Source organism: Homo sapiens, chromosome X, assembly GCF_000001405.40.
Source record: "Homo sapiens chromosome X, GRCh38.p14 Primary Assembly".
NCBI classification, from domain to species: Eukaryota; Metazoa; Chordata; class Mammalia; order Primates; family Hominidae; genus Homo; species Homo sapiens.
This window is the reverse complement of record NC_000023.11, coordinates 71,927,332-71,948,144: the sequence shown is the minus strand read 5'-3', so window position 1 is coordinate 71,948,144 and position 20,813 is coordinate 71,927,332. Positions and strand designations below refer to the sequence as shown.

General features: G+C 44.7%; 1 protein-coding gene across 8 annotated transcripts in view, besides 1 other annotated feature; it reads right to left on the bottom strand.

Annotated features, from left to right (window-relative positions):
• The window catches only part of NHSL2 (NHS like 2), a 242,442-nt gene that overhangs the window by 205,142 nt on the left and 16,487 nt on the right, over window positions 1–20,813 (bottom strand). The gene's annotated exons all lie outside the window — the stretch shown is intronic.
• Window positions 12,063–12,762: an enhancer, noted in NCBI's record as "OCT4-NANOG-H3K27ac hESC enhancer chrX:71155233-71155932 (GRCh37/hg19 assembly coordinates)". NCBI's record gives its function as "activates a minimal SCP1, AML or CMV promoter by ChIP-STARR-seq in naive H9 embryonic stem cells {active_cell/tissue: H9 hESC(naive)}" and the evidence as "EXISTENCE:reporter gene assay evidence [ECO:0000049][PMID:30033119]".

Here is a 20,813-nt window from a genome sequence, read left to right as displayed (position 1 = left end):
TGTTGACACCTGTTATTTTATTTTATTTTATTTTTATTTTTCTCTCTTGGATCTCTTTTGCTTTTTATTTTATTTAATGGCCATTTTCTTTCTTTTTTTATTTCCATAGGTTTTTGGGGAACAGGTGGTGTTTGGTTATATGAATAAGTTCTTTTGTGGTGATTTCTGAGATTTTGGTGCACCCATCACCAGAGCAGTGTACACTGCATCCAGTATGTAGTCTTTTATCCCTCACCCACCTCCCACCCTTTCCTCCGAATCCCCAAAGTCCATTGTGTCATTCTATGCCTTTGCATCCTCATAGCTTAGCTTCCACTTATGAGTGAGAATATACGACGTTTGGCTTTCCATTCCTGAGTTACTTCACTTAGAATAATGGTCTCCAACTCCATCCAGGTTGCCAGATGCAGTGTCGAAGACAGTGTGTTCCATATCCTCACAGAGCTCACAGGGAAGCAGGGACACTACAGACAACTTGAATAACATCATCATCTCACAAGGTTGTTGTGACAATGAATGACACAATTTATGAAGCACCCTAGCATAAGGCCAGACACCCAGGAGGCATTCAATGAATACTAGTCTCCTAACTTACTTCCTTTTCCTCTTCAAAGCATCAGGGAGTGATTTGGAAAACAACCCTGCTGCCAACAAGCATCTATGCCCCCCAGCCTCAGCACAATCTGTTGTATAGCACATGAAAAGTGCTGCAGCGTTCTTGAATTGTGTTCCTTAACATTTGATGCGGTTCATTCTAGTCCTTTCAATCCGGTTCCGGGAACTAAAGTTAGTACATCTGCAGGACGAGGTTAGGAACGGAGGCCCATGGCCCAAGGACGTTTCTAGGAGGAGCCAAGAGTCAAGGATCAGCTGGAGTGAGGAGAGGGAAGCCCTGATGGGCTGGTGAGGAACAGGAATTCTTCAGGCTCCTGGAGTGTGAACAGGTTGAGCATGAGGCAGGGAGGGTAGAGGAAGGGGCCATTGTTCAATTTTGCCAGAATGGAAGGGAGGAGAGGGGCAGGAGCAGCAGACAAGGGAAGTGAGAGAAGCTGGAGTGCCCAGGTAGAGGGTGCGCAGCTGAGGATGGAGGTTTGCAGAGTCCTCAATGAGCCTTCCTGTGGATACCAGCTACCATATGGGAAAATCTTTGGCGACCTCTCCACTGGCCAATGGTGAACCAGGCCCTGTGCTGGGCCCTTTATCACATGTGTAGTCTCCATGGATTCTCAGAGCCCTGGCAGCAGAAGGAAGTACTAGTCCCATTTTACAGATGAAGAAATTGAGGTTCAGAAAAACCAGGAAACTTGCCCAAGTTCACATAGCCAGCAAGTGGTAGGAGTGAACATGCTAAAATCCATACTCTTCTATATAAGCTGTCTGCTCCAACCAGATTATTTTACTTACCCAGTTACCCAGTTAGCAGAAAAGCTATAAGGAACTTTTAAAAAGACTTGAGAAACCAGGAGATAAGTTGTAAAGACTATCTGACTAGATAGTCCAGATATAAGATGATATGGGCTTCAAGAAAGGCAGTGGTAACAGAGTTGGAAATGATGAGATGGTTGTGAAAGTGGAGCCAGACGACCGCTCCCTGTCAGTCTCCTGTGTGAGCTCATCTTTCTCTGCCTGCCTCTTAGCATTTACCAAGGCTTGGTCCTCGGCCTGGCACTCTGTATAGCCTGCCACGGTAATCCCATTCACATCTATAGCTGAGAACTCCCAACTCCCTTCCTTGCTATAAACACTTCCATCATGACCCAATTTGAAGTGACCAATGGTCTGATAACCAGCTTGCAAAATTCTTGAATACTTAATCAACAGGCAGGCTATGCCCTCTGCCTGAATTGCTTATTGGCCATCTCCTTCACTGGGCTGACTTGTACTCTTTCTCCAGATCCATACAGCTCATCACTTTCTCTGGAAAGCCTTTGCTGACTCCCTGCCTCCTGCTCCTGTCTGTGATGGGTTCCCCCTTCTCTGTCCTCCCATGGCACTAGGCTCTTCCCCATCAGAACAGGCACTACCCTGTCCTATCACTGCCTGCTTATCTGTCACACCCACCCTTATGGGTACAAGTTGCTGAAGACAATGAGCCGATCTTATTCACAGCCGCACAGCCGGTATGTCAGCCTGAGGCTTGTCTTGGAGTAGGTGGCTCAATACATTTTTGTTGAGCAAATCCTGATTTCATTATTCCCTGGGTAAGTTACTCTGGCTAAGTCCCCTCTGAGCCTGTTTCCCCAAAGGTAAAGTGTGTGTGGGGGTAATACTTGGCAAAGCTCTTGTGAGGGTTAAACAAGATGGCATGTGTAAAGCACACAGCACACAGTAAGCGCTCAATAAATGGCAGCTATTGCTGGGCAGCAACTGGTCAGGAAAAAAGAGAAAAACAAGTCTCTCTTCCCTGCTAGCCCATATACACACCCATCCTGCTTCCCTCCTGTCTTCAGGCTCTTGAATAAAGTTGGAAAACCTGAACCAGCAAAAATAATCTCCTTCAGTAAACTCTTAGGAGAGAACTATCTTCTATATCAACAACACACCCTTGGCTCAGCCTCCAGCAGACCAGCCCCAAGTCGGAGGTCTGGTTTTTCTTTTCACCCCATTCAGATATTTACAGTGTAAACCTTGGATGATGAACGGCAGGGGTTGCGGGGTGGGGGGACGCAGGAGCACAGCCAGTGCCAAGAAACCTCAGGAAGGAACTCACACTGGGTCTCCACACAGTAACGCACACTGTTCTGGAATGGAAGTGTAGTCTTCCAACAGAATGCTTCGTCAGCTGCGAGACAGAAGAAAGGGGACTTCTCAGCAGTGAGGCAGAGTGAGGTGGGCCCACAGAGGCCAAGTCTCTCTTTCCACATTTGGAACGTAGCCTGCTAGAGAAAAGACCCAAGTTCAAGTTCAAGCTCTATCTTAACCTTTCCGTCTTCATGGTGAAAGAAGGAATAGTATTGGATGCCCTAACTCCCACTTTTTAAACTTCAGCTGAACTGGACTCCCCAACGGATGACCCCCCCAACTGCCTCAGAGTTGGCATTCAATTTCAAAAAATACATCTTGGTTGCCTAATTCCTCTTTGATTTCAAACTGGACAACTGTCTTCTGATCTTTTTCAAAGCACACATGTACATTTTACACAGCCAGTATGTACCTACTATTTTTTTCTGCCTTTTCCACTTAACATTATTCCATATATATTTTTGTACCATCAGAGTTCCTGAAGTAGTCACATTTGGTGGCTGTATTGTAGCCTAATATACTAAAACTCACAGTCTGCTTAGCCAAATCCCTATTATTGGCTGTTTGGGTTGTTTCTATTTCTTGCTATAATAAATAACACTTTGCACAATGTGATTTTGGAAATTTCCTCTTCTAGATTTTTTTCTTTGGGTGCAAATTCAATTCCAGAACTACTCCAGAAAACATATGAAAACCAAAGCTCCAAGGGCAGGGATGATTTTTCCATGAAGAAGCAAGCCTATCCATTCATTCTCCCCTCAGTCCTTGAAGTAGAGCCACAGGCAGAAGCTACTCACCTAGCAGTAACTAAATGGGACAGCACCATGCTCTACACAGGCTCTTCCTTTTGGCTGAGGGAAACAGCCGAGAAAGCCCATATGACCAGCTTGACCTTCCAATGGACAGTCAGGGAAATTCAGGTGCAGTTGTTTGGGCACAGAGAAGATGGCTCTTTCTGGAAACCTCCTGGCCTTAGACCTACCAAATCTTAGAACCTGACTCAGGACCGGAGCAGGCCACTTACTCTCTAAACTGGTCTTTATTGAGCTCTTTGGTAGACATTGCTGGTTGCCTACCTCACAGCCATCCTCTGCACCTTCTTCCTTGCTAACAGAACTCCAATTTGTAGCTGGCAAAGATTCTTTCATATCAGAGAGGGAAAACTCAACTGCAGTCCCAGGCTTGAATTATGATTGGTCTAAATCAGTCACTGGTCTAAGAGGGAGCATGTGACAGAAGCAGAGTGAGGTGGGCAGGCATTGGCCAAGTCTCTCAGTCCACACTCTTGTAACTTGAACTTGGGTCTTTTCTCTAGCAGGCTATACTCAAGAGTGTGGAGAGAGGGTTCTGGATAATGAAATGTAAGGGGCAGTCTCCTGGGGAAGTCTCCCTTCCCAAATAACAGGACAAAGCCCCCTGAGCAGAAAACCTTTGCTCCTTCTTCCTGCTTGAATGCAGTTGTGATACCTTAAGATGCAACAGCCACCTGTGACCATGAGGCAACAAGCGTAGGATGAAAGCCAATTCACTACGGATGGCAGAGCAGGCAACCACCTAACTCTAAACTTTTTGTTATGCAAAAAATAAACCTCTATTTGTTTAAGCCACTCTAAGTTGGGTTTTCTGTTACTTTCAGGCCAAAGTATACCCAGTTATACCTCCCATATGCCTTGCATGTTGCTAAATGCCAAAGAGGTTACAAAAGAAATGAAAAGTACACTCCTATACCTCAGCAAGCTGAGTCTACTTAAAGAGACACAAATGAAACACAAAAAGCAATATACGGAAAATAAGTAAGTAACCAAATGGAAAGGACTGAAGAAACTATTTTAGTCAAGGTATATAGAACAGAGCTAGAGCTAGAGGTAAGCAGAGTACATCTGTGGAATAGTAAAGACCTAGATGGGTCCTAGAAGGGAAACAGGCGATATGTGCAGATACTGTTAGGCTGAAGCCATAGTCCAAGGACTGAAAATTGCTCATTCAGGAGTCTGGCCATGATCTGATACTCAGTGGAAAACCAATCCAGGAGAAATTCATGGTGAAAGTTGTGCTTAAGGAAGATGAATTGGATGGTGAAGTATAGACTGAGGCTGTGGTATTCAAACGGGTGATGACAGTTGGAAGGAGCACAGTGCAAGAGATATTCTGAGATGGGCATGGTGGCGTGCGCCTGTAGTCCCAGCTACTCGAGAGGTTGAGGCAAGAGGATCACTTGAGGCCAGAAGTTTGAATCCAGCCTGGGCAACATAGTGAGATCCTCTCTCTAAAAAAAAGAGAGGGAGAGGGAGAGAGAGACTCTGAAGGAAGAATTAACAGGACTTGTTCAAGATTCAGTGTGAAAATGGAAGAGGGAGGGATCCCAGGGATATTACCAATCACCAGGCTGGGAAAGACACACACACACACACACACACACACACACACACAGAGAGAGAGAGAGAGAGAGAGAGAGCATTAGAGCCCTCGACAAAGACTAGGAAGTCAAGAAAGGGAGATGGGGCTTTTGACTTTGACCTGTTCAGATGACAGTTGACCACACAGATTACTATGTCTATTAGACAATTCCCAACGCAGACATCCTGAGTCTGGGGGTGGGGGGCAAAAGAGGCAGCAGAAAAGGGAACGTCATTTGGTTAAGACCACTCTTTCCCAAACCTCAGTCATCTGTGTACTACCTTCATGACTTTTGCTACATGTCTAACACCTACACTACTATTCACTTAGTATTTTTCTTTAAATAAACTTCCTTTTCTAAAACTTTACATGGCTTTAAACAATAATACCCTTGAAACCACCAGTTTTGTATGTTAGTTATATTTTCTTCTAAAATACATGAAAATAAATGCATAACTATCAAAGTTAAAAAATGTTCAGCCAGGTACTACCTGAAATTATTTCATGTTTCACTAGTGACCTAAACACCACCCTTAGGAAAACATCAGCTCAGACACAAGTCATCAGGGACCAGGTCATTTCAAGGAGCCTGATATCTGAGCAATGGGCCTCTTAATACATTCCCTTCCCCTACATCAGCAAGTTACATTATCTTCAGGGGAAAAAGAATCTTTACCCATCTGTATCAAGCTGTAAGGAAAAGAGAGATGGAGAGAAGATGCCCTGACTATCAGGGTGCCTGGGGAGGGGTTGGTCACACATCAGGCATCTTAGGCTGCACCATGCAGGTGAAGGATCCCCTCACATTGCAGTCTGGTCACAGTGGGGCCTCAAATCCTCTCACTAGAGCTCTAAGGAAAGATTCCCATAACTGGAGCTAACCAAGAAACTCAGAAAGAGGCTAAACTGCTGCCTTCCTCTTCCCTTTCCTTCCCTCATCCACCCCCACTCCTCTAGCCCCCTTCCAAATCTGAGCTGGACTTAGCATAAGAGGAGCATGACTCATAGAAACCGAGGACTGAGCAACAGAGGCCTCGCTGCCAGGATTCCTCCCAAGCTGACAATGAGCAGACCCAGCAGCTCGATCCCCAGCTCATGGCAGACTCAGTACTCCAAAGGCTTTGGGCCTTTAGAGCCCACAAGGTGACAAACATTCCCTGAGGAAAGGTCAGAAGACCAGAAAATGGTAAAGAGCTGGTGTGAAGGAAAGAAGACTGTGTTTATTCAATGGTGATGGAGTTCAGATCCCATCTCCCCTAATGTCTTTTCTAAATTCTATTAGGCCCCCAGTGCCTGCTTTCATAGTAAAATAATCATAATAGCAATGATTGTAATAATAAGTAATGTTTACAGGGAAATAAATATGTGCCAGGTACTGTGCTAAGTGCTTTTTAGTACTGTCTTATTTCATTTTCACAAATACCTTAATGAGGCAGGTACACTTACTGAACCCATTTTAGAAATGAGGAAACTGGGGATCAGAGAGGTGAAGTAAATCTCCCAAGGTTACACAATAAGTGGGACAGCCTGGATTCAAGCCTAGGCATCAGGTTCCAGAGCCCCTTAACCATTCTGCTTGTTTTACTCACAAAACCTTCTGAAAGATGTTGACGCTGACTGGACCAGACATAGATCCCTGACTCAGGGCAGAAAACCCATAGGTTGGCCAGCAGCCTAAGGGGTGACCTGACCTATCAGTCAAACATGAATACAATGACCCATAGAATCACTCAGATAGTCTTTCCTGTGGATTCTGAATGTGAGACAGGGAGAGGGTCTTCAGTCAGTAATGAAGGCAAAAGCAGACACACAGACACACACACATACACAAGAGGCAGAAGCCATGAGCATAAGAGCCTTGAATGAGCAGAAGCTATGGAGTGGGGAATAGAGAGAAGTTGTAAGCAGCAGCAGAAACAGAAGCTTCTGAATCAGAGAGTAGGAGAATTATGAGTCAATCATTTTAACTACTCCCTTACCGACATCCGCACCTTTCTTACTCCATTGCCCATCCTTCATCCATCTTGCAAATCCACAAGTGATGTTTAAATCAATCCAAATGTCTACCCTTTCTGCTCCTACTCCAGGATTGCTAAGCACTCCTTGGTGAAAATACTCCAACCATGCAGCTGGGAACCGCTATGAACCTACTGGGCCTCTGGTACAACTAGGCAACCCTTTTTATTTTCCGTCTCCATTGGGCTCTCTCTTCCATTTTATCCAGTGGCTCTCTGAGCACTTCTATCATCTACAAACCCCCAGCCTTGCCACATCCCCCTCACCCAATTTCACAGAGAGAAAGCCACCAGGCAGCAACTTCCCACAACCAAATCTGCACATTCACTCACCACATCCATACTTTCTGCCTTCCCTCTTATGACTCCTCCCAACCAAGATTAACACTTCCAACCTGGCCTGCACTCTGCGAGTTCCATCTCCTCCCACCATCTCAGGGACTTCAAGCCTCAATTGTCCCCTCCCTCACCTGTGTCTCCCATCTTTCCCTCTCTACTGTCAGCCTCTTCTCCATCAGCACTGAAGCATGCCCTCTCTTCTCCCATAACCTGCAATCATCTGCTCACCCTTCCTTTTCACAGACAAACTTCTGGAAAGAGTTGTTTACACTTGCTGTCTCCATTTCCTCACTCCCACTCTTCAACCCAATGTAGTCTGACATACAGTTCTACCACTCCACGAAACTAGTCTCACCAACAATTTCTCGTAGCTAACTCCCATTGTTGTTTATCAGATCTTCTTTTATACTGACCTCTCCAAAGCACTGCAACCATTGGCCACTGCCTCTATCTTGAAACTTTCTTGTAGCTTGGCTTCTATGATGCTGTGTTCTCTCCTGATTTTTCTCCCTCCTCTCTGGTTGCTGCTCAGCTTCCTCGTTAGGCTCTTTTACCTCTGTCCACAAATGTTGAGGGTTCTCAGGTCTTGCTCCTAGGCCTTCTTTTCTTCCCACTCTACAAATTCTCCCTGCACAGTCTTCCAAGGTCTCAATTACCATCTATAAACTGATAACTCTCAAATTTATATTTCTAGCCAAATATCTCCTGAGCCTCAGATCCATATAACCAATTTGCACTTGAGTGTCCCACAGACAACCTAAATTTGACATGCTCAGAACTGAACTCATCATCATTCCTATGAAGCCTGTTCCTCTTCCTTGTTGCCTATAATAGCTAACATTTATCGAACATTTTCTATGCTCCAGATACAGTTCAAAGCATTTTATATATATTATTTCACTTAATCATTAAAAGGAAGGTAGTGTTAATATTCTCGTTTTAGGTAAGGAAACTGAGACACAGAGAGGTTAAGGAACTTGTCCAAGGTCACACAGCCAATCAGTGGCAGATCTGGAATTCAAAATCCAGACAGGTTGGCTTCAGAGCCACTACGCTTAACCACCAACCTATTCTCCCATCACTGCTCTCCAGTTGTCTAGGCCAGAAACCTAGGCATCATCCCTGATGCCTGACTTTCCTTCACTGTCCACATCTGTCTATTCTTTCTTCTAAATGTGCCTGAGATTCATCCATTCCTTCCCATCTCCATCACAAATATCTTAAGCAGGTCACCTGCACTCCCAGCCTCCAATGTCACAACTTCCTAACCCACCTTCTATACTGCTTCCACAGTGATGTTTCTGAAAAGCAAGTGTGATCTGAATGGCCAACTATTCCATGGTCCCCTGCTCCCCTCAGGATAATGTCCAAGCCCCTTAACATGGCTTACATGGTCCTTCATGATCTAGTCCCTGCCTGCCTCTCTAGGCTCCGATTCTCCCACTCCCCTCTACCTCCTAACTTTCTGCAACTTCCTTCCTTCCCACCTGCCTTCACCTGGCTACCACCTAATTATCCTTCAGTCCTCTGTTTAGATGAAGGACTATTCCTCTAGGAGGCTGGCCTTGGCTCCCCAAGTCCAGCTTAGCTGCCATTGCCTTATTACCCTGTACTCAGCCTTGTCAGAGCACTTGCCATGCCCTATAATATTTGTTTAATCATTTTCTTCCCCCACTAGACTCTAATTTCTGTGAGACCAGGGACATTGTCTGTTTTGCTCATCTCCGCACCTTACGGTATAAACCATATCAAAGCCCTCTCTGTTCACTTGCCTTCTCCAAGCCATACACTCAGTGGTCAGAGGAATCATCCTGGGGCCAGCTGCCTGGAACAGGTCCTGTGCTCTCAAGCTAAGGATATGTTTCCTGAGCTATCAGCTCATACCTTCCTTCCCAGCAGTGGGGCCAAGAGCCAGTGCATTCTCTTCACTCCATTTCCTGGGCAGGATTTGCAATGTGAATTTCAATTATCACTTGACTTTTAGAACCAGAGTCGAGCTATGTCTTAGTTACTGACTCTTTTAATAGCTTTGTGAGATCGATGGGAATGCAACGGAAATAACAATGATGACTCACCCAACCCTACTCGCCTCCCTTCACCACTCTGCACAAAATCCAATCCCACCACTGTCAAGTCAAGTGCCATTCTGGATGAGGTAGCAGCAGCTCCTTGGATATCTGAGCAATCATGCATGGGAGAAGAAGACGCCAAGGAGATCTCAAGTGAGCTGCTAGTCAGACTCTATGGTCAAATGCCCTGTGTCCTTGAAGCCTGTGAAATACAGACAGACAGAAACAGGTAGAGCAGAATGGCGAACTTCCAAGGGGAAGGGGGCTCTGGCTGGAAAATCGGTGCATAATGGGGCAGGCTGCCTTAACGGTATCACCTAAAGGGACACAGGGATGGACAAAACTCAGGTGGGCTTCCTCAACCCTGCTCATGCAATCCCTTCCTTCTCCACAACTTCATCAGCTAGGAGCAAGTCATGTTCATATGTTGTACCACAGTGGGCAAGTGGGCTATGATAGTCATTAGCACTGTTTCCCAAATATTCCCAGCACTGTGCCTTGTAGGGACGTGGTGAGATTTCACTTCTTGGCCCATTACAGTTGGGTGGAACCATATGATGAGTTCTGGCCAACGGCACAGAAGTAAATATATGTGACTTCCAAGCTGGAATATTTCTATGCCATTATGCTGCCTGACAGGGCTCTCTTTCCCTTTCCCATAATGACTAGCAATGTTCACAACGGTAGGTTCTCTGATCACCGGAGCTGTAAGGTAAAGAGACAAGGAGCACAGCCCTCAGCTAACTCATCATAGACATAAAGCAAAGGCAAAGAATAAACCTTTGTTGTCATGACCCACTAGGATTCTGGGGATGTCTTTTAGCACGGCACAAAGTTGTTCATCCTGACCAATAACACAAGCTACATCTTTCCTTTGGAGTTTGGCATTATTAGAGATAGGAAACCACAACCACCATACTGAGAAGACAGACAATCATTTATCAAAATGACTACCAAAAAATATTAAGCATATTAGTAAGGGTAAGTTTTTAGCAATGTTCTAGATCATGATTTGGGTGGTGGGTTCATGAATGTTTGTTATATTAATATTATTACATTAACAAATGAGGCAAAAAACACTTGGCTACAAACGTGATGATTATCTGGATGCAAACAGCAATTCTGAAATGCACAGTATAGTCCAAGAGTCCAAACCTGTCCATTCAAGGACACAAGTCCTAAGAGGTTCTAGGTCCTTTGGTCCAGGTCCAAACCTAGGCCCTTCCTGGTGACGCTTTGACTCTCCAGCCTTGTGGAACTACTGATTTCTCTTCCTAAGTCTCCCCTGGTTCTCCCTCCACCCTGGCTACAGCCCCCTCTCTCAAATTCCCAAATTACTGAGAACATGAGCTCCACCTTTTTGTTCTCCACAAGCACTCCCAGACCTCTGCTGCTGCCGAAGAAAGGTACTATGTGTTCTTGATGCCCATCCACCTGTAACTCCTCAACTGTCTTCTAGGAGAGAGCTCCTAACAGGACAGGGTGTAGAGTTTGAGGTCAAAAAGAGCTCGGTTTGAATCCTAGCAACACAATTTACTTGCTATGTGATCTTATAAAAGTTATTTTCACTCTCTGGGTCTGAATTTCTTCATCTTTAAAATAGGAACAATAATACTTAGAACTCAAGGGGTTGCTGTCTGCATCCTATGAGTGAGGATGCAAGCAGAGAAACTGGCACACAAGTAGGCACTCAGTAGCTGTTGCTTCCCTTTCCCTTTTCTACTTTCTCCTCTTTTCAAAATGGCAACTGACCCATACCACTGACCCAAACTGTAACCTCATTCTTTCCTCTTGTTTTCATTTTCCTCTTTTTCCTTCCAGTTCAAACTCCCCCCACTACACACACACACCACCATCATCACTCTCACCACAGCAGACACCTTCGTTCAAACTTGTCTCTCATTCACTATCTAGTTCAGGGGCTTTAAAGTTTCTGTTTTGTTTCTCTTTGTTTGTATTTAGAAGTGGCACTCCCTTGCAAACAAAAATCATCTGTAGATCTCTAATATATAAAAGACAGAATCAGAACTGCTCATGGCAGCCCCTGAAACACCTCTGTGGGATTCCCTAGGGCTCAATGGATCACACATTAAAAACTATTGGGCTCTTTGCTCTTTCCAGGTCTTCAGAACATCAGAGCTGGCAGGCCCCTCAGAGGCCATCCACTGACCCACTGCCTAAATTTCTGGATGGGAAACATGCCTAGAGATTCAGAGAGCTTTTGGCTCCAAGGGCTGGAAAGAACCCTGAAGGTCACGTAGGCCCCCAGGCTGACTGACAGGTGGTGGGCCCCAGAGCAGGAGAGAGCAGGGGAACCAGCCTCCTGCTCCCATCTCTAGGCTTCGGGAGCACAGCCTGCCTCTCACCATGCCTAGGAAGCAGTATCCCCTAATCAAGTGTCAAGAGGTTGACTCAAAGCCTAACACAGCCACTTGGTAGCTGTGTGGCCTCGGGCAAATCACTCCCTCTCTCTGCAGCTCCATCTTCCCTCTGTCAAATAGGCTTATGATGCCTATCTCACAGAAGCTTTATGTAACTTTACCTGTGTGTGCCTTTACCTCCGCAAAACACTCATAGGCAACACCTGGCTTTCAGACTTTCCAGGAGGGACACAGATAATGGTGGTGGGAAGGAAGATAGGCACCTCACACATTTTTCCTTTTTCCAGGCAGGAGTGAGATTCACTCCCCTCCACAGAACCCTAATTCCTATTTATGAAAAGCCTCTGGCCTCTCACAAATCCCCTAGGCTTTTCCTAGCCAACAGGCAGCTTCCCAGTCCTGGCTGTACTAAGGCTCACCCCTCCCTGCCTCAGGGCCCTCCTTTTGTTCCACTTCCCCTCTCAAGCACACAGCCTGAAGGGCTGCCCAGCTGGCCTTTTCTGAGAGAAAGTTTGGCAACCAGCATCTGAATGGAACCCATTAGTACCTGTTTACACCACTAATGTGAACTCCCACCCTGAGGCCCTAGAAACACTAAAGCTACAGAGTGTACCTCAGAACCGACTCCGCCTGGAACCAACCAGGTCAGTGGCCAAGACTCTTTCATTTTATTTCGTTTTCCACAACCCCCTCTCCTTCAAATGAGCTGCCTAGGCAACAGGCTACACATTTAGTTAGCAATTGCACTTAACAGCCACAGATTGCCACTTGGGATGGTGCAGCAGCACATTTGGTTTAATAAGTGTGCTACTACTATGGTTTTCACATTTCCCTAGGCTGGAAACCACTCTGATAGGATAAAAGGCCCTTCAGACCACCTAGGTCACTCATTGCTGCTGACCCCCTCCCAGGGACAAAACAGAAGAGGGCTGCTTCCTAGGATGAGGCTCCTTGAGGGTACAGCCATGGTTGTTGTTTTTAAACTGAGAATCATTAGCAAAAGATTTGTATAAGAAACAAAAATAGTGACAGGACCATGTAAGAGACCCTGAAGGACTCCCGGGAATGGTGCTGTGTGAGGTCCAGAAAGGGCTGCCACAGCAGTGTGTGACATGTGATGTGTGTGAGTGTGTGTTTGTGAACATGTGGGTGTGCATGAGTGTCCTTTACTGAACAGCTTGCCTGAAAAACAAAAAAACGGTCCTGCCAGTTATATTGTTACAAAACAGCTGGAAGGGCACCCTAAAAGAAGTCCAAGCTGAGGCTCCTTTCAGTTATCACTCAGGTATGTCTTGACAAAGTCAAGGATTCTGTGGTTTTGATGCTAGTTAAGAATGGACGCCATCTAACCAGATGTTCAAGCCAAAAACCTGGAGGTCATCCTGGACTCTTTTATTCTCCTTACTCCCCATCTCCAATCCAGCAGAAAATCTTGTCTGCTCTACTCCAAAACAGATCCTAATCCATCTACTTCTTCCCCCTCCACTGCCATCTGTGTGGCTCAAGTCACCGTCAGCTGTCCTCTGAACCAGGCCTCCTTCCAGGCCTCCCTGCTTCCACCCTTGCTGCCTCACAGTCCATTCTCTACACAGAAGTCAGGGGGATCTTTTAAAAACGTTAAGTCAGATCCTATACCTCTTTTTCATGCCATGGAAGCACATGTTCAAGAGGGAAGCTCCACCAGCCTGGATTACTGAGTGACTAAGAAGAACACATCCCTCCCATCAATCCACATCGGACAGTTCCAGCGAGTGAGAATTTGATAGTGGTGGCCACTGGAGCATAACTTAGCCTATCCACGTGCATTGAATTCACGTGTATTTTGGGAGCAGGCATTATGGCTTCAACTGAGTCCTAAAGAAGTGTGAGATCCCAAAGGATTATCTTAACCACTGCTCTACAAGGAAAAGGGAGCTGGCTGAGTGAAGTACAATGTTCAGAGTGTGCAATTAACAAACCTAGTTATGTAAACCCTGGGAAGCGGCATGGTATTGATGAAAGAAGTCAAGCAAGTAGGCTGCTCAGCAGTCAGGAAATCTGTACCAAAACGAGGATAGAGGACAGGACTTTGGTCCTGGAGGAGAACTGGAATACAAAGAAGAGTGAGTAGGCAGAATTTAGTAGAAGTCAATATGGTGGGGGTGGTAGGGAAAGAGGAAGGAAAGGAAGGGAGGAGGAAACAACCTAGAGGCAGCATGGATCTCCAAGGGTCGCTCTTGGAGGTGCCTGATCGCAGATCAAATTGGCAGCAAGAAGCCCCAGGAACCAATGCAGAGTCCAGCTGTTGTCACAAGTTCCCCAGCTCCTGGGTCTGCTGAAGCCAACGCAATATTTCCTGCCTCAGTTGGGATTTTGGCTCAGTGGCTGGAATGGTGAACCAAGCTGGCCAAAATGAACCTGCCTGGGGATAGCTGGGGGAAGCAGAGGCAGCAGAAATGAGGAAGGGCTTCCACGTCATAGTAACAGCTGACAGTTATCGAGTGCTTATCTTGTGCCAGGCACTGTGGCAAGGATATTACATGCTCTCCCTATAATCCTCACACAAACCCCATAAAGTTAGTGCAATTTTATGTCCACTTAGAGACACTGAGCAACTTGCCTAAGATCATACAGCTAATAAATGTCAGAGCCTGATTTGAAACTAGGATATCTCCTCCCCAACCTATGTCTTTCACTACTTTATTTTCTCTTTTTCCTACTCCTCGAATTTATGTATTTGTTTTACTTTCTCCTAGTTTTTCATTTCACCCCATTTCCTGCCACCTGTTCAATTCCTTCTCCTCACAGTCCTCTACTTGAACATAAAAAAAAAAAAAAGTTAAGTGCACCTTGACATGTCATCTATTATTAGTCTTTCTGTCATCCATCTTCTGGCTCAATGTCTCAGCATTTCAGCTTTCCATACATTGACTACTGACAGGTGACCCTTGTCTCTAACAGTAGAGAAAAAGGAAGGCTTTTGGACAGGGCGACTCTCACTGGGAAAAGAGGCAGTGTAGCTCTCTGTGCACAAACAACAAATCCAGGTTTACAAATCAGATACTTGGAAGATCTAAACACTCCTGGAGGGGCTTGGTAGCAATGCTGTAGAGATGAATTCTGTAAAAAGGAGGCCAATGCTTCCCTGGGAGCATAGGTGTGGAGGGCTGGGAAACACTTGGTGTCTGTGGGAGAAGTCCTAGTAGTGATCTTCACTTATTATTGGAAACTATTTGGGATGGGCCTTTCTAGGGAGTCAGCTCTGGTGTCATGGAAAAGAAAAAGCACAAGGGTTGTTCTTAGAATAACAGGATTCTGGTCTGGCTTTGCCACTTATTGGCAGGCCAGCACTGGGCAAACCATGATAACCTCTCTGGTACTCAGTTTCCTCATCTGCAAAATGAAGAGAAGAGTCTTACACCTTTCTCATAGGGATGATTTGGAGTGAGGATCAGATAACTTAATAATATCTGGAAGGCATCTCAAACTCAGTAACAATGATTCCTCCAAAGCCACCTACACTCATGTACTCTTTATTTTGGTGAAGACCACCCCTGCCAACACCATCACATAGGCCTCAAGAACCAAGGACTGACTCTGAAACCTCCTCCATTTCTCTTGCATCTGTGAATCTGTCCACCTCCTCTGCAGGGTTGCCATCGCCACCTTCATCTAGCCCTCCCTCATCTCTCTCTCGGACTACGGTAATATCCTCTTAACTGGCACTGATCTTGCACACCCCTCTCCAGTCCATTCTCAGCACAGCAGCCAGAGTGAGCATTTTGAAATCAAAATCAGATCATGTTACTTCTTTGCTTCGGTGGCCCACAGACCCTGTAGAATTGGTCCCCCTCAGGCAGCTCGCCCTCATCTCATGCTGCTCTTTCTCTTGTGCTTGTAGGTCATCAAATTCGTCTCCTTGCAGTTCCTTAAAAGCATCCTCCTTTCTCGCCTTTGAGAACGATGTTCTTGCTGCCTGGAATACTCTTCCCATACATCTCCTCCAACTCAGGCACCTTCCTAATTATTGATTTCTCCAGGAAGGATTTTCTTGGTCCCCCACGACTAAGTCAATCATTTCTATCATTCATTTAAAATTTATTTTGGTGATTATTTGACTAATGTCTGCTTCTCCCACTAAATGCTTAGCTCCCTGAAGGCAAGGGCCATGGCTAATTGTTCACAGCACCTGGCACAGTGTCTGGCACATGGTAGGTGCTCAATCAATATTTGTCGAAAGAAAAAATGAATGTGGATATCCTTGATAAACAGTAAACAGCTGGGCAAAAATAAGGCAGTGCTGCAGAAATGAAGAAACTGATCCTACAAATCATGTGGAAATTCAAAGGTCCCAGAATAGCCAAAACAATCTTGAAAATAAAAAACTAAGTTGGAGGACTAACACGTCCCAATTTCAAAACTTACTACAAAGTAATCAAAAGTAATTAAAGCAATCAAAGTTTTCAAAACTATGTGCTACTGGCATAAGGATACACATATAGATCAAAGTAATAGAATTGACAGTCCAGAAATAAACCCATTCACCTACAGTCAATTGATTTTTCACAAGGATACCAATGCCATTCAATGGAGGAAGGAATAGTCTCTTTAACAAAAGGCGCTAAAACAAGTGGATATCCAAGAACATGCAAAGAATGAAGTTGGACCACTACTTCACACCGTATACAAAAATTAACTCAAAATGGATCACAAACCAAAATATAAGAGCTAAAACTATAAAACTCCTAAAAGTAAACATGTAAATTTGCACGTTCTTAGATTAGACAATGGTCTCTTACGTATGATGGCAAAAGGACAAGCAACCAAAGAAAAAATAGGTAACTTGGACATCATCAAATTTAAAAAACTTCTGTGCATCAAAGGACACTGTTAAGAAAGTGAAAAGGCAACTCACAGAATGAGAGAAAATATTTACAAGTCATATACCTGACCAGGGATTAATATACGGAATACATAAAGAACTATAATTCCACAACAAAATAATAAACAACCCAATTCAAAAACGGGCAAAAGACTCGAATAGACATTTATCTAAAAAGACATACAAATGGCCACTAGGCACATGAAAAGATGTTTAGTCCACAATGAGATACCACTCCACACTCCCTAGGATGGCTATAATAAAAAATTCAGAAAATAACAAGTATTGGTGAGGATGCAGAGAAATTGGAACCCTTGTACATTGCTGATGGGAATATCAAATGGTGCAGCCTCTGTAGAAAACAGTCTGGCAGTTCCTCAAAAGTTAGATGTAGAGTTACTATATGACCCAGCAATTCCATTCCTTAGGTACATACCCAAGAAAAATGAAAGCATATGTTTACACAAAAACTTGAACACACATGTTCATAGGAGCATTATTCATAATAGCCAAAGGATAGGAACAAGCCATAGAAACATACTCTTCAATGTGTGAGTGGATAAACAAACTATGGTCCATCCATACAATGGAATATTACTCAGCCATAAAAAATAATGAAGTATTGATACATGCTGTAGCACGGATGAACCTTGAAAACAACATGCTAAGTGAAAGAAGCCAGACACAAAAGACTACATATTATATGACTCCATTAATACGAAATTTCCAAAATGGGCAAATCCATAGAGACACAAAGTAAATTAGTGGTTACCAGGGACTGGTGGGAAGATGGGGAATTGGACCAGTAAGGGGAATGGAATTTCCTTTTAGGGTAATGAAAATGTTCTAAAATTGATTGTGGTGATGGTTGCACAACTCCACCAACATGCTAAAAGGCACTGAATTATACACTTTAAATGGGGGAATTAAATGGTATGTGAATTATTTTCAATAAAGCTGTTAAAAATAAGGTGAACAGTGAGTTCTAAAGGCTAAGAATGAGCCAGTCATACTAAGAGTTGGGGAATGAGTGTTCCAGCCAAAAAGAACAGCTAGTGCAAGGATCCTGAGGCAGGAATAAGCTTGGTGAGGAACAGAAATGAGGCCAGCACAGCTGAAGTAGACCCGGTGAAACGGGTGGGAGGTGAGGTAAGAGAGGTGGGCAGGGCAGATAGAATGTGGAATCAATTCTGAATATGATGAGGTTCAAGCCACATGGCCACCCCTAATTGCAAGGGGGTGAGGAAGTGCAATCCTGCCATGTTCCTGGAAGAAGGACAGCCAGAGTCTGGGCGTGGTGGCTCATGCCTATAATCCCAGCACTTTGGGAGGCTGAAGCAGGCAGATTGTTTGAGCCCAGGAGTTTGAGACCAGCCTGGGCAACATGACAAAACCCCGCCTCTACAAAAAATACATAAATTAGTCAGGTGTGGTGGCACACACCTGTAGTCCTAGCTACTCGGGAGGCTGAGGGGTGAGGATCACTTGAGCCTGGGAGGTTGAGGCTGCAGCGAGCCATAATCATGCCACCGCACTTCAGCCTGGGCAACAGAGCAAGACACTGTCCCCCACCGCCAAAAAGAAAAAAAAAAGAGAAAGAAACAGAAAGAGAGCCAGAACTACTCAGTGAGTTGCACTAATGAAAACCATCCATGCACACTACAATCTTGAGTAGAGTTTCAGGGCACTCAAGCACCTCCTTCAAGTCAATTTCTTAGAGCAGGATTAAGATCCCATGCTGGGTCAGTTCTCCAGCTTCGGCTTTGCCTTAGGACAGGGATTCTTAATGAGTTAAATTAAGTTCTTAACCAGGTGTTACATGAAGAGAGTTCAGGAGGCCCGTGAACTTGTATGTGAAAATAATTAACTGTTTATTTTCACTAAACTCTAATTGAAATGATGAATGTAGGCAACAAACCACAGAAGTGTTAGCAATACCTGTGCCTTTGTCAGTAATAGAAATCACAGATCATATGACAGTTGTTGAAGGTATCTTGAAATTTCACTCATTCAATATTTTGGTAATTATAAGACCCAGCGCTAGATCTTGTAATTTGAAATATGCTAAGAAGCACATATACTACTATATATCACAATTTAAAAAGTATTTTGATAACTATCTTTCAGTACCATTGTTTTCCTTTGTAAGCCTAGGTATTTTATCTCATGCTTAAAAAACAATTATGAAAACACCTGAGAACTTCAAAGTCTTAGGGGATAATTCACATCATGTTGGGTCCCTGCCCTGTCTTCCTCTCAGCTTGCCCTGTAAAACTGCCTCCACGGTAGGTCTGCCAAACCTCATGTTTAAGACTCCATCTATGACAGTATGGGGAGTTAAGCAGAAGAAAACTTGGAATCAAGTTCCGAAGAAGACTTCTGGGTACTACAGTAGATTTGTGTGCTACTCAATTATATCTCCAGGATATGGCCCAGGCTCTCTTATGCATCACTGCATGGCAGAAATATTGGCCTGACAAAACCTTCCATAGTTTGCTGCTGGCTTGCTGGGGCTAAGTCTTTCATTTCTCCGGGCCTTAGTTTCCCTATCTATGCTATGAAGGGTTTGGACTGGATGTCCAAACCACCTATGACAGCCCAAGTTTATGCTTCTGTACCATCTGCTTCCCTGGGGTCCCAAAAAGAGGCCCAGTAGTACCAGGTGCCCCTCGACCTTGGCACCAAGTTTGAGGGGCCACCCAGGCTTCTATACCATATGGTAGAGGGGAAACAGTGCTTTCCCCAACTCCAAAAATGCCATCCACAGCCTTACCTCCTTGCCTTTGCTCATGCAACTCCCCTTGCCCAGGGCACACTCTGTATGTCCATCAAGGATCCAGTCCAAAGCCAAGCATCACAACAAACCTGTCACTGGCCACTTTGAACTCCCATGACATTAGGCACAAAGCATCTTTTATTGCAGTCTTCTTATGCATATGTCTGCTGTCCCTACCCACAGAGTCAACTCCTCTGGGTGAGACCCATATTTCCCCCTTTTCAGGATTTCCAGGGCCCAATTCAGTTCCTTTATCTTCAGGTATCAAGCCTAAGATAATGGCTGTGTGCAGTCCTATACAATCCTGCAGTTGAGTGGGCACTAAAGAATCAATTCTCCCAGGGTCAAATCCTGGCTCTGTGGCTTACTAGTTAGCTCATTTTTTGCAATAACTACTAACTTAGTTAATGACACAGTGACAACATCTCCATGCCTGGATTTCTTCATCTACAAAATTGGGAAAATAGTACCTGTTTCAAATAAAGCAAAGATTAAGAAGCAAATACAAGTAAAGTGCTCAACACTTAGAAGTATTACTTATAAATTTTGTGTGACAAATATTTAATGCCTGCCAGGCTTATAATCTTCATAACATGTCTATAAAGTAGGTACTATTATTATAATGATCCCTAACTTACAGATAGAGAAACTAATGGAAAGAGATGTCAGGCTACTTGTCCAGGGTCATAAAGAAAGCAAGTAGTAGGGCCGGGTGCGATGGCTCAGGCCTGTAATCCCAGCAGTTTGGGAGGCAGAGGCGGGTGGATCACCTGAGATCAGGAGTTCAAGACCAGCCTGGCCAACATGGTGAAACCCTGTCTCTACTAAAAAAAGTAAAAAAATTAGCCAGGCTTGGTGGCAGGCGCCTGTAATCTAGCTACTCAGGAGGCTGAGGCAGGAGAATCGCTTGAACCTAGCAGGCGGAGGTTGCAGTGAGCTGAGATTGCGCTGCTGCCCTCCTGTCTGGGTCACAGAGCAAGACTCCGTCTCAAAAAAAGAAAAGAAAAAAAAAAAAGAAAGAAAACAAGTAATAGAGTGAGGATTCAAACCCAGAGAGGGTGGCCCCAAGGCCCAAGCACTTCACTGCTATGCTAACTCTGCTACCTCTCAACAGCTATCCTTATTATCCGTCTTCTGTCAGTGTTAAACCAACTCTAGGTGCAAAAGAAAATTAGGCCAAGTGGTAGGCTGCTTTCCTCTAGCTCGCTTTCTGCTGCTTCCAGGTGCTTTTGA